This window comes from Homo sapiens, chromosome 11 (genome assembly GCF_000001405.40).
Source record: "Homo sapiens chromosome 11, GRCh38.p14 Primary Assembly".
In the NCBI taxonomy this organism is placed as follows: Eukaryota; Metazoa; Chordata; class Mammalia; order Primates; family Hominidae; genus Homo; species Homo sapiens.
The window spans coordinates 102178733-102192452 of record NC_000011.10 but is presented as its reverse complement, the minus strand read 5'-3'; the positions used below and the strand labels follow the sequence as shown (position 1 = coordinate 102192452).

Sequence of the window (13720 nt, the reverse complement as noted above, 5' to 3'; positions counted from 1 at the left end):
CCTCTACTGCAGATTGAAGAAAGATTTTTGGAGGAGATTGAAAATGACAGGTCAGAGCAATGACATAACTATTTTTCTCACAGGATAATGTACATATGAAACACTATAGAATATAACACTTAAAGAAGCACTAGCAAAATGAAGGACATCCAGAGAAGTGAGTAAATTGATAAAGAACAGAGAACTCTGAACACATGAAAAACCAGAGAAACCACAGTTAGAAGAGAACACTGCTGGGATTAGAGCTGTATTCACACATGTGAAAGGAAGTAAATTTTTGGGTAATCAAGAAATATAAACTTTGTGGTCATTAGAATTTTCCTTAAGTAGAATGGGCTACACTATAATGAAGTAAACTAGTAAAGGGAAAGGTCAAAGCTGAGATCGGTGAGGCAAGAATTGGGTAAATAATTCAACTAGATGCCTTTAAAGTCTGTTCCAATCAGAGATCTTAAATTCTCTTACGTAATTAGAAACTTGGCCAGGCCCTATGGCTCACACCTGTAAACTCAGCACTTTGGGAGGTAGAGGCAGGTAGACTGCTTGAGCCCCAGGGGTTTGAGACCAGCCTGGGCAACACGGCAAAACCCCATGTCTACTAAAAACACAAAAAAATTAGCAGGGTATGGTGGCACATGCCTGTAGTCCCAGCTACAGGCGGGAGGCTTGTATGAGCCCAGGAATTAAGGCTGCAGTGAACTGAGATTGAGCCATGCTGCACTCTAGCCTGGGCGATGAGAGTGAGACCCTCTCTCCAAAAAAGAAAGAAACAATAAAGGAAGAAAAGAAAAAAAGAAAAACTCATTATCTTTGGGTAACTTATTCAAGATGAGTCACAATACAAGATGCAAGTGCATTAACCACTATTTTTCTCCCTCTCAAATTTTCATGTATCAGCATTAGTAGGTATTTCTGAAAGATTAACTGCATTGAATCTAAATTTCTTTTAAATTCTAGGTATCAAAAGATCAAATTCAAATTTCAGTTTTGCCATTTAACTATATAACCTTGGGTATAATTTCCCTGATCTCAGAGGGGCTCAGATTTTAGACCATATTCCCTAACTCTCCCAGCATTTAAAAAAAAAAAAAAAAGTGTTGGTGGTCCGAGGAATCGTAATGGCTGTGTGGTGCTATGGCACTTAGCGGGCCAGGGATGTTGAATGTTCTGCAGTGATCAGAAGAGTAGCATTCTCCCCACTGAAAAAATGATGATTAGAGGACTCATTATGAGGGCCAAATTTTGTGAGTTTTATCAGTTAATAATTTTTTTTTTTTTTGAGATGGAGTCTCGCTCTGTTGCCCAGGCTGGAGTGCAGTGGTGCGATCTTGGGCTCACTGCAACCTCTGCCTCCCAGGTTCAAGCGATTCTCCTGCCTCAGCCTCCTGAGTAGTTGGGACTATAGGTGCGTGCCACCAGCCCAGCTAATTTTTGTATTTTTAGCAGAGATGGGGTGTCACCATGTTGGCCAGGATGGTCTTGATCTCTAACCTCATGATCCATCAGCCTCGGCTTTTGAGATGGAGTTTCGCTCTGTCTCCCAGGCTAGAATGCAGTGCACCATCTTAGCTCACTGCAACCTCTGCCTACCGGGTTCAAGTGATTCTCAGTGCCTCAGCCTCCCAAGCAGCTGGGATTATAGGCGTGTGCCATCACACCTGGCTAATTTTTGCATTTTTAGTAGACGGGGTTTGACCATGTTGGCCAGGCTGGTCTTGAACTCCTTACCTAAAGTGATCTGCCCACCAGGGCCTCCCAAAGTGCTGGGATTACAGGCGTGAGCCACTGCATCCAGCCTGTTACTAATTTTTATTTTTATTCTTAATTTTTTGAGACAGAGTCTCTGTTGCCCAGGCTGGAGTAGAGTGGCATGATATTCACTCACTGCAACCTCTGCCGCCTGGATTCAAGTGATTCTCATGCCTCAGCCTCCTGAGTGACTACAAGCGTGCACCACCACTCCCAGCTATTTTTTTCTATTTTTAGTAGAGATGGGGTTTCACTATGTTGGCCAGGCTGGTCAGGAACTCCTGGCCTCAAGTGATCCATCCACCTTGACCTCCCAAAGTGCTGGGATTACAGGCATGAGCCACCGCACCTGGCCATCTGTTAATAATTTTTAGCTCGCAATAGCTCTTTTTATCTAAAACACACATCTTTTCCTCTGTACGCTAAGTAATTAATGTAGTCCATAACCAAATACTGACAGCCCAGGATAACCAGGAAAGACTTGAGTTGATAAGGGGAAAAAAAGCCTCAAACCTCAAAACAAAACAAAACAGAACAAAAAAAACCTCACTTTTAGCATACAGCTATCAAGAGACTTGCTTTGATAAAATTTAAATAATTAGATGCTGACATTCTCTTTGCTCAAGACTCCATTAATAAAGTTACCAATTTGGTTTCTAGAGACTTCAGTGGTTTTCCCCCAACACTAATAGGATGGATTCTTAGTTATTTAGTTGGTTGTTAGGTGCATTTTCATCAAAAGGAAAATATTATTTTTAACAACAGAAATATTTGGCTTAAAAAAGAAAAAATGTTAATGAATGTCTCAAAATTTTTATAGATATTTAATTATTAATGCCAAATATTTAACTCTGATGAAAAAGAAGTCTCAACAACCTTCGGCTTTAGTCTTATTTTAATAAATTGCATATAGGTATTTGTATTTTACTTATCCTTTTATTTCTTATTTCAAGACATTATAGTAACACATACACACGTGTATGTAAATGCACAGAAAGCAAGTTTTGGGAAACTGAAACAAAGGAACCAAAATCAACCTATGAGGTTTAATACCTCTGACATTTCTACACATAGAATTTCTGTGCACAGAACTGTAGTTAGGAATTAAATATTCTGTTTTTGTCACTCTGGACTGTTCATTACTTGCTTTAAAATTCAGAAGTATAATTTTTTCCCCAAATCTCTTGCTCCAATATTTTGTTTACACCAAATATTTTTATCCCAGTGGTGCCATCAGCACTTATTTCCTAAAACACAGATTGGTAACAATATTTTAATACATCTTTTTATAATATAAACAATAGCGAAAATAACATTAAAGATCAGTTTATCAACTATTAGTGTTTTAAAGATCTTTTTTCATTCTGAACAGCAATTATAATTTCATTGTGTTTTCATTAGGCCTTTTACTGGAAAATGTCCATGACTGTATTATATACAGTAATAGATCTACAACATACAAGGTGATGTTTAAACCTGAGACTCATGTTTGCCAGTACAAAATCTCCAGGGAAAAAAAATCACCTCCTATGTGTTTATATGAAATAATTTAATGGCTTGCATAATACTCAAGGAACCATTTTCTTGAACAAAGAGTAAAAACACTCCTAATATGACTCCTTAAAAAAACAAACAAAAAAAGCCCTATTTTTCTTAAAACTCAATAAACATCAGGGCATCCTTATTGCCATCTGATGTCACTTCATGATTTGTTATAAATTACTAATGAATTCTCTAAAATTAAAATATTAAAGAAATAGCTTTTAAATGTTAAAGAAAAAAATCATTAAAAAACCCAATCCACAACAAATTACTCTTTTATTCCCTAAAATTACATAAATAACATTAATTTCATGTGAGATGTGAAGGATTGATACTATAAATATAGTCATGTGTCACTTAATAACCAGGATATGCTTTGTGAAATGGATCATTGGCAATTCTGTCACTGTGCAAACATCTTAGAGAGTACTTACACAAACCTAGATGGTATAGCCTACTACATGCCTAGGCTGTAAGGTATAGCCTATCGCCCCAAGCTACAGAACTGTACAGCCTGTTAGTGTGCTGAACACTGTAGGCAACTGTAGCACAACGGGTAGTATTTGTGTATCTAAACATAGAAAAGTTACAGTAAAAACACAGTATTAGAATCATATAGGACCACGACTGTATATGTGGTCTGCCGCTGACTGAAACGTTATTATGCAGCAAATGAAGTGTAATTACTAAATATGTTTAATCTTAAAGCAAATGGCTATATTCTAACTATAATTAATCTGAAAGCATCTGATAAATAAACATATAAAAGGGGTTGTTTGAAGGAGCTAAAATTAAGCTTCTCTAGGGGCTTAGCTCCCATTCTAAGACACTGAAAGACACACATCTACTTGACTTAAGCCAAAAATTGATAAATATTTTAATATAGATTTGAAGAATATCGAAAAGCAAACTCCACAATCATGAAAGCAATATCCTACACCATTTGTTTGTGTTTGTATGGCCCAAAGGGTCAGAAACAAGGGGATAGTTTATATTTCTTTGGCAGAGATAAAACATAATCCACTATGCAGAACTTCTGATTTCAAGGAAAACTTCAAATCCAGCAGCTAACAGCTTGTCTCTATTTGCTGTCACTCTAGATCAGAGAAACCCACACGTTTTTTTCTTTCCTGCCCCCCTTCAGTTACACTTGAGCTCTCTGAGTGAAAAGGTCTGGAACAGATTAAAAGTCGGGCCACAAAATAAAAAGCTCTGGCATATTGTCAAGCCTGTCTGGAATACACACACGGTGGGCCCAAAAAGGGAAACTAAATGCAATAAGAGAATTTTATGAAACTTTTTCTGGGCACATCTAACTGTATGCCTGTGTGTACATAACGTGCTGGAGGGTGGTAGTGTTTTTTTAAAGTACCTCCTCCTCTTAAAACAAAAGACCAAGCTGTGTGTGTAATCAATAGTCTACTTAAGCTTACAGAAAAGTTGTTTTATTTCACTGTTTTAAAGGAAAAAATTTTTTTCTTTAAAAAGCTTTGTTCTTCCTGATCTCTGCAGTTGGTAAAGCGTTCGTCATCATCTTTCATAACCTTATGTCAGGGAAAAAAATTCCGCAACACCATTCTTCAGAATTTCCAAAATGTGGAGAAACTGAATTCATTCATTTCATTAGAGATAATTTAAGGAAACATGGCTGTTATTGTTCCAGTCCAAACAATTGGCCGCATTTATTAAATTCTCTATCTTACTTGGTTTCCTGTTCCAATCACAAGGGCTAATTCAAATAGTAAACAGAATCTGAAGTTGCAAATTATTAACATACCTCATTACTTTTTTTAACACCCAAACAGGTCTTGAAGCTTAAAAGGACAGTATTTAAGCCAAACCGGTTATCTGTCAAAATGACATCACTGCCCTGATCCTGCCATTGACTTAACTTGAACAGGGGGTTCAGTCAGTTTGGGGCAAACTTGAATTTATTTTTTTAAAGGTATATATAAGACACAAAATAACTGCTCATAATATTCCCGATGGAGAAGTTATTTTATCCAACCAGCTCCAGATACAGTTTTTTCTTTTTTCCCCCCGCAGGGTTGTGTTTTCATGGCATTCACAGAGTTAATTCCTCTTTCCCGTGAGGGCCCCGCAGTTGTTGTTAGGTCAAACCCTGTAAAGCTTCAAAGGTTCCGAGTCCCCTCAGTCTGACCTATTCAGTGATCTGCACATTGTTTTCATTTAGCTGCATCTAGTCCAAGATGAAGCTTCAAAACCACAATTATCTGCTCTTTTTTAGATGCATATTCCATGGCCTTGGAAAAATATCTCAGAAACCCAAATGAAAAACTGAAAACAGTTTAAAACACACACACACACACACACACACACACACACATTTTTTAAAAAGCACTGAAGAACTGGTTACACCCTTATCAAAATGTACACATTTGGAAGGGGAGGGGTTCCTTTGTGCAAATGTGATTTATTCATGAGATCTGGAGGGGAATATGGCTTTCTTTGTTTTCTGAATGAAGAAAAAAAAACATTTATTTTTCGAGAGAGACAGAAGAGGGGGCAAAATGCTTTCACTGGGCCATTTCTGGGGTGACATGTTCCTCCTTAGGATGGGAAACACTACAACACCCAGGCATAAGATGGTACTCATCACTCTCAGAACCTAAGCACAAGCAGACATCAGGTCACTGACAAAAGCTGGTACTCCTGGTCTGAGGTGTTGCATGACAGCCTGATTATTATTGCAGCTAAAAAAAAAAAACATTTTAAAAACAATCACTGTGTTTCTCCCAAAATGTGAAAGGAACAAGTGATTCTGGTTAGTCGGCCATTATGACATTCCCCCACCCCAACCTGAGGAGCCCTAAAAATCTGATTCAGATCTAAATTTCTCAAGTTTACAATGAGAAGGATAAAAACACTACTGGTAAACATTGGGTGGGCAGGGTCATTTTTTAATACTATAAAGCAATGCGATTTTATTTAAATGTGCTTTCCGAAGTATATTTACAAAAAAAATTAGCAACCAAAAGCATCTAAAAAGGTTTTGAGATGAACCTTTACCAAAACGAGGGTCAAGCCTTGGGTCTAGCCAAGAGGTGGTCTTGTTCTTATGGTTTATATAGTAAATTTCTCCATCCTGAGTCATGGCTTGTTCCCATCCATCAGGAAGAGGACCTATAATACAGAAAAAAAAAAAAAAATCATGGTTTTTATTTGGTGCACCTAAAAAAAAGTGGGAGGGGGTACTAATTTAAAAAGAAAACACATCTTAACATAAAACAATTCATTGAAACATATTTAAGGCTGTGTTCAGAGAAGAAAGGTAAACCTATATACCTGCTTCTTCTCCACTAAAAAGAAACCACCAAATAATAAAATGAATATTCCTCAACACAGAGATGAAGAAAAAAAATTTTTTTCCAAAAAATCCTTTTGGAAGTCATGGCCCAAATAATTACTATTACTGTTAACATAAGACACGGAAGAGCTTGCAGCTCAGAAACTACCACCCAATCCAATCAGTTTTGTGACAATACCTTCCTAGGAACACCAAGGTTCATTAATAAGAAATACATGCAAGTATTTTTAGAACGTTGAAAATATCATAAACATTCTATTTAATATAAAGCACATTTTAGCTAAGACAGCCAAGCTCTATTTATTTCCATGTTTTATGTGAGTGGCTCACACCAAGAAAACTGTAAGACAGAAAGCTACAGTCCAAACAAAGCTTATTTTTCAGCAGACCAGAAATTGCTAATGGGTTGGGGTTGCAATTTGAAGTTTAAGCTTGTTGGAGGCTTGGGAGGAGGCAAGATAAGTGCTAAAGTTGTTGGAAGGCAAACTTTAAGGAACATCATTTGAGAGATAGGACTAAAGAATACAGTTAACTCTAAAAGGATTTTCCTATCTTTATAGGAATAGAGAAGTCAAGACAATTGCTCTTGGGAGGTAACAGCAATGAAAAGAGAGGCCCAGAATAAATAACTAAAGTATTCAAACATAATTCTTCCTGATTTCCTTGTCCCTCCCAACTCCCCCAGTTCCCATTTCCAACAGGAATCAAAAGAGGCAGGGCAGGAGATACAAACTGGGATGGTCAGTACATGGCTAAAATCTTTTCTTCTGTGGACTAACATGAATTGAACACTTATCTTGTGCTAGTCATTGTTCTTATATATTATGTACATTAATTCATTTAATTCTTACAGTAAACAAATGACATAAGCAGTAGTACTACTTATTCTAATGAGGAAACTGAGGCACAAAGTGCCAGGTTGATCAGTCTGGTACAAGATCCCAAAGCTAGTTAGTACCAGGAATGGTACTCAAAGCCAGGCAGCGTGATTCCTAACCCACTGACTGCTCTTCACAACTATACTTCTTTTCACTCATCTCCCACAGATGACCAGAGCCTAAGTATCCCTCCTATGCACAAATAGAACAATTCCCTTCTTCCTGTATTGGCAGTCCACACCAGTCTCATGGGTGATGCTGAATAAGTAACTTTGGTTAAACTGACCACTCACACAAGGCCCATGGGACCCAAAGTCCTATTTTTAGGCCAGTTTCATTCGTATTAGGAACAGATCAATTTGCAGCTGCATTTTCAAAGGTCTACTTTGATGGGGTAAAATCCTGTTAGGAAATGCAGACGTGTGGAATTAGTTTTCTCCATGCCTAGAATCCTTAGGAAGGCTCCCCTTCAGTCCTGGATGTGTAGTACACACTACTAACCAAGTCCAGAGGTAGAATTTGTTGTACACATCCCAAGTTTACCAGAGGCTGAATGAGAAGCAAACCTGTTTATCACATGTATATCAAACCTTTTCTCACCAGCTTTCACTGTCATTTTGGGCTCTATTTCCTCCCCAGAAAGACAGAACTCCAAAACTGAATATTAATGGTTTGCTACTATCTTTAACTGTAAAATGGCTGAATTATAAAAAGCTTTTGCAAAACAACTAACTGTATTTAAAATTTTTAGGCACTGAAAATACCATGTGACTATACATGGTGATGAACAAGTCAATAGCAATCACTGAATGCCTTTGGGAGCCTCAACTCAACAACCCCAAGATCTCATTGTAGCTTTCTTTTTTTTTTTTTTTTTTTGAGACGGAGTCTCGCTCTGTCGCCCAGGCTGGAGTGCAGTGGCGGGATCTCGGCTCACTGCAAGCTCCGCCTCCCGGGTTCACGCCATTCTCCTGCCTCCGCCTCCCAAGTAGCTGGGACTACAGGCGCCCGCCACTACGCCCGGCTAATTTTTTTGTATTTTTAGTAGAGACGGGGTTTCACCATTTTAGCCGGGATGGTCTCGATCTCCTGACCTCGTGATCCGCCCGCCTCGGCCTCCCAAAGTGCTGGGATTACAGGCGTGAGCCACCGCGCCCGGCCCTCATTGTAGCTTTCAAGCCTGCTTGAATATATGGGTTTCATATATGTGGTTTAAACACACACACACACACACACACACACACACACACACAGAAACAGCATTATTCCCCACCTTAGCTGTCTGAATGAGAGCCACAAGAGATACCTAGGATACAAACCAACCTTCCCTACCTGCTCCACTCACTTCATTTTGTAAATTCCACTTATATTCTCTCCGATGGGTCTGCCACAGTCCATCTCAGAGAACTCAGCCATCAATACTTACCAGCTCTCTTTTTTGACCACTTCCTCAGTAACTGGCTTGTCATCTCTTCTCACTCCAAGGTCCTCTATCAGTCACCAGGGGTTTCTCTTCTTAAAATATTTTCGATTCATCTTTTAAACATGTCATTCATTCTTACTAAAGAACATTCCTATTGCTCTCCATCAAGAGGAAAATGCCTAAATTCTTTACTAGCTGGATTCATTTCTGAAGTCTTCTTCAGATACCCAGTTTTCCCACCAACTTTCCATAAAATCATGCCATCTCCTTGTATATGCCGTTCCCATTATCACAAATACTCTGCATCCCCTACCTCCTAAACTCTTAGTCATCCTGCAAGAGACAGCTCAGATGTCACTTCTTTAATTCAGCCTTTCCATACTACCTCAGACAGAAATTAGTTTCCTCTTCCATTCTCCATGCACATTTAACAGGTAGAATTGTAATTACTTGATTACATATCTGTTCTCCTGGCAATGATCAAGTCATTCTTCTTTACAAGCTTGTAGGCTAATACCTGAATAGCTGCTCAATAAATGTTTGATGGAAGAATCAATGTCTTGCCTTTTAAGTAATACTTTGAACTTTCTGTAAGCTTAAAATCATGTAGAACCTATATTATTTGCAATTAACATTTATACCAACACATATATACCAAATACAAAATAATACTTTATATTCATTTTATCTTTCATTTAATACTCTCTGGGTAAAATATAATGTTATATGGAAAGAGATGGCCCAAAATAGGATACTTTCTTTGTACTGAAAGAAAGCTGCGCACCAAAGGCAAGGAATAGATTAGAAAAGATCACCTTTAAATAACTTTTCACCACACTATCTTTGTCATAGAATTAAGATAGAGAAAACTGAAAAGAAACAATTCTTCCAGTGTTAATGGAACAATACAGATAAAGGCTTTATTCACAAAAAAAGAATTTTTAGTCCAGTGGTCCTTAGAAGAAATTCAGTGACTTGATTCTCAATGCAGGATTCCAAGTCATTCTCTTAAACTAACTGTTGAATAACCATGAAAAGGAGAGAAAGCAAAAAGTGATATGTTTTCTGAAAGTGAAACAAATTACACTTAGTGAAAATGTGTTTCAATCATCTGTTTGGGCTAGGGTTAGGATGCAGGAAGGTTAAGTCCAAGGGGGGAAATGTAGGATTACCACAAAAATAAATGTAAGAGGAGACCACAGTGGCTCGATCAAAATCAATTTAGGATGCCTTTATGTTCAATTTATATTCTGATTATAATGTGCTATAAATATTCATCAGAATCACCTGGAAGGTTTGTTAAAACACATGTTGCTGAGCCTTACCCCTATACTTTTTGATTCAGCAGGCCTGAAAATTCCCAGGTGGTGCTGATGCCGGTCTAAGGAACCACTGATTTAAAACAACCACTTAGGGCCAGGCATGGTGGCTCACGCCTGTAATCCCAGCACTTTGGGAGGCTGAGGCAGGGGATCACGAGGTCAGGAGTTTGAGGCCAGCCTGACTAACATGGTGAAACCCCGTCTCTACTAAAAATACAAAAAATTAGCCGGGTGTGGTGGTGAGGGCCTGTAATCCCAGCTACTCAGGAGACTGAGGCAGGAGAATCACTTGAATCTGGGAGGTGGAGGTTGCAGTGAGCCAGATCACGCCACTGCACTCCAGCCTGGGCAACAGGGTGAGACTCCGTCTCAAAAAACAACAACAAAAACAAACAAAACACAACCACTTAGAATTCTTCAGCTAGTACAGAAGTATTTCTCAAATTTATCTGAGTTATACACAACCACATCTATTCATTTTAGGCAGTTTGGAGATCAATCTATGCAGGTCTGGGAATAGTACACAGTCACGTCTGCTAGGATTAGGCAAATCTACCATGACAAAACAGGCACCACAAGGGCAGTACGTTTTTTTTTAAATTTTATTTATTTATTTTGAGAGAGTCTTTCTCCGTCTCCAAAATTCATTTCACATTTGTCCTTAATGACCAGATAGAAATAAGGAGTAGGTGGCAGGAAGTAAAAAGAATGGATGTGACCCATAGGAGTTATTATTTTATTTTATTTATTTATTTATTTATTTTTGAGACGGAGTCTCGCTCTGCCACCCAGGCTGGAGTGCAGTGGCGCAATCTCGGCTCACTGCAAGCTCCGCCTCCCGGGTTCACGCCATTCTCCTGCCTCAGCCTCCCAAGTAGCTGGGACTACAGGGGCCCACCACCACGCTCGGCTAATTTTTTTGTATTTTTAGTAGAGACGGGGTTTCACCGTGTTAGCCAGGATTGTCGCGATCTCCTGACCTCGTGATCCGCCCACCTCAACCTCCCAAAGTGCTGGGATTACAGGCGTGAGCCACCGAGCCTGGCCTATTATTTTATTTTTTTGAGGCAGGGTCTCATTCTGTCACCCAGGATGGAGTGCAGTGGTGCAATCCCGGCTCACTGCAGCCTTGGACTCCTGGGCTCAAGTGACCTCCTGCCTCAGCTTCCTGGGGAGCTAGGACTACAGGTGCACACCACCACGCTCAGCTATTTTTTAAATTTTTCTGTAGAGATGGGGTCTCATTATGTTGCCCAGGCTGGTCTCGAAATCCTGAGCTCAAGAGATCCTCCCACCTCGACCTCCCAAAGTGGTGGGATTACAGGTGCGAGCTACCATGCCCGACCGAGAATTACTACTGGCCATTTAGCTTCGAAACATTTTTAGTTGAGAACTTTTCACTTCCTCAATACAGATGAAGAGTTCTTTCTCTGTGCTAGTAAAAAAATTTCTTTATATCTATGTCATAGCATTTATCATTCAGTATTATTATTTTTGTTTTGATCTTCTTTTTTTTTTTTTTTTTTTTTGAGATGGAGTCTTGCTCAGTCGCCCAGGCTGGAGTGCAGTGGCATGATCTCGGCTCACTGCAAGCTCCACCTCCCAGGTTCATGCCATTCTCCTGCCTCAGCATCCCAAGTAGCTGGGACTACAGGCGCCCGCCACCATGCCTGGCTAATTTTTTGTACTTTTAGTAGAGACGGGGTTTCACTGTGTTAGCCAGGATGGTCTCGATCTCCTGACCTTGTGATCCACCTGCCTCGGCCTCCCAAAGTGCTGGGATTACAGGCGTGAGCCACCACGCCTGGCTCATTCAGTATTATTTCATTATGCATGTTTTCTTCCTGGCTAGACTGTGAAATTCCTGAACACAGGAGTATATATTTTGCATTTTCCATTTTTGTCCAGTATAGGATCTACTAATTAGAAATAGATTAGGAGGCCAAGGAGGGAGGATCATGAGGTCAGGAGTTCGAGACCAGCCTGGCCAACATGGTGACATGGTGAAACCCCATCTCTACTAAAACTACAAAATTAGCCGGGTGTGGTGGCGCACACCTGTAGTCCCAGCTACTTGGGAGGCTGAGGCAGGAGAATCTCTCGTACCCGGGAGTTGGAGGTTGCAGTGAGCCAAGATTGTGCCATTGCACTCCAGCCTGGACGACGGATGCGAGACTCCATCTCAAAAAAAAAAAAAAAAAAAATAGAATAAATGTTGGCTGAAATGAATGTAATTAAAATCCTTTGTTTATGCTTGTAAAACAAAATATTGTTTCATTCTTTCTATGTAAGCTCAATTTCTGCATTATTTTTATGTATCATTTAAACTGAAGGGACAGGGATATAGCAAATACTTTTACTCAACAAGTATTTATTGAGTTCCTACTATATTCAGGCCCTGGAGATGGAGCAATAAACAACATAGTCCCTATCTGATGGAATTTATGTTCCAGATAGAAGACAGTACAATGTTGGCTAATGATACGTGCAGCAAAAATAAAGCAGCATGCATGAAAGAAAGAAAAATGAAAAATGGGAAAGAAAAAGAAAAATGGGAAACAGTTTTTTAGAAAAGCAGATCAAGGGCAGGAAGTGACCTGTAAGCTCTGACCTAAATGCACTCCTAGCCAAACATGTGACATTCCGGGCATGGGCATTCCAGGCAGGGGCAAGCATGAAGAGGCTGCTACCTGTGGATGGGGCAGAATAAGCAGTTCGCTTCGTTTTTATGGTTAAGAATCTACCAGAAAAACTTTAATTATTTCAACCAGTAAATACTTAAAGGGGATTACCATTATTAAACAGTAATTCCAATCCCCCAAACTCATGACAACCTCTAGATTGGTGAGAATGGATAATACACATTTTCACCCCAAATAACTTTTACACACTCGAAAGCTGGGCCCTTAGACGTGAAAAAGATGTGGAAGCTTTTCAAGGCTGGGCTATCATGCCTGACCACCAATACCAAAGTCTTCTTTCGAAGAAAAGATTAAAAGTAGGCCCTATAGCAAAAAGGAAGAGAGAAACAGGCCAGCATTTTAATGAGACGTAAAGAGGGTGACATGGTTTGGATGTTTGTCCCCTCCAAATTTCATAGTGAAATGGGATTCCCAAAGTTGGAGGTGGGGCCTGGTGGGGGGTGACTGGGTCACGGGGTGGGGGGTGGGGTACCTCATGAATGGCTTCGCACCATCCCCTTGGTCATAAGTGAGTTCTCATTCAGTTCACCTGAGATCTGGTTGTTTAAAAGCCTGGGACTTCTCCCACTCACTTTCTTGCACCATGTATCACACTGGTTCCCACTTGCCTTTTGCTAGGATTGTAAGCTTCCTGAGGTCCTCACCAGAAGCAGACGCTGGCACCATGCTTCCTGTACAGCCTGCAGAACTGTGAGCCAAATTAAACCTTTCTTTATAAATTACTCAGTTTCAGTTATTCCTTTATAGCAACACAAAATTAGATTGACAGAGGGTGA

General features: G+C 39.6%; 1 protein-coding gene across 14 annotated transcripts in view; it reads right to left on the bottom strand.

The window, feature by feature from the left end:
* YAP1 (Yes1 associated transcriptional regulator) overlaps nucleotides 1-13720 on the bottom strand; it is a 122978-nt gene that overhangs the window by 40972 nt on the left and 68286 nt on the right. For 5 of the 14 annotated variants that reach the window (XM_005271378.4, XM_005271381.4, XM_005271380.4 and 2 more), the window contains one exon: nucleotides 6316-6435. The exons of 4 other annotated variants lie outside the window; for them this stretch is intronic. In XM_005271378.4, coding sequence (XP_005271435.1) covers nucleotides 6316-6435 — 120 coding nt within the window. The remainder of the gene's footprint in view (nucleotides 1-6315; nucleotides 6436-13720) is intronic. 5 more of the 14 variants (NM_001282101.2, NM_001282100.2, NM_001130145.3 and 2 more) reach the window with 1 other exon arrangement.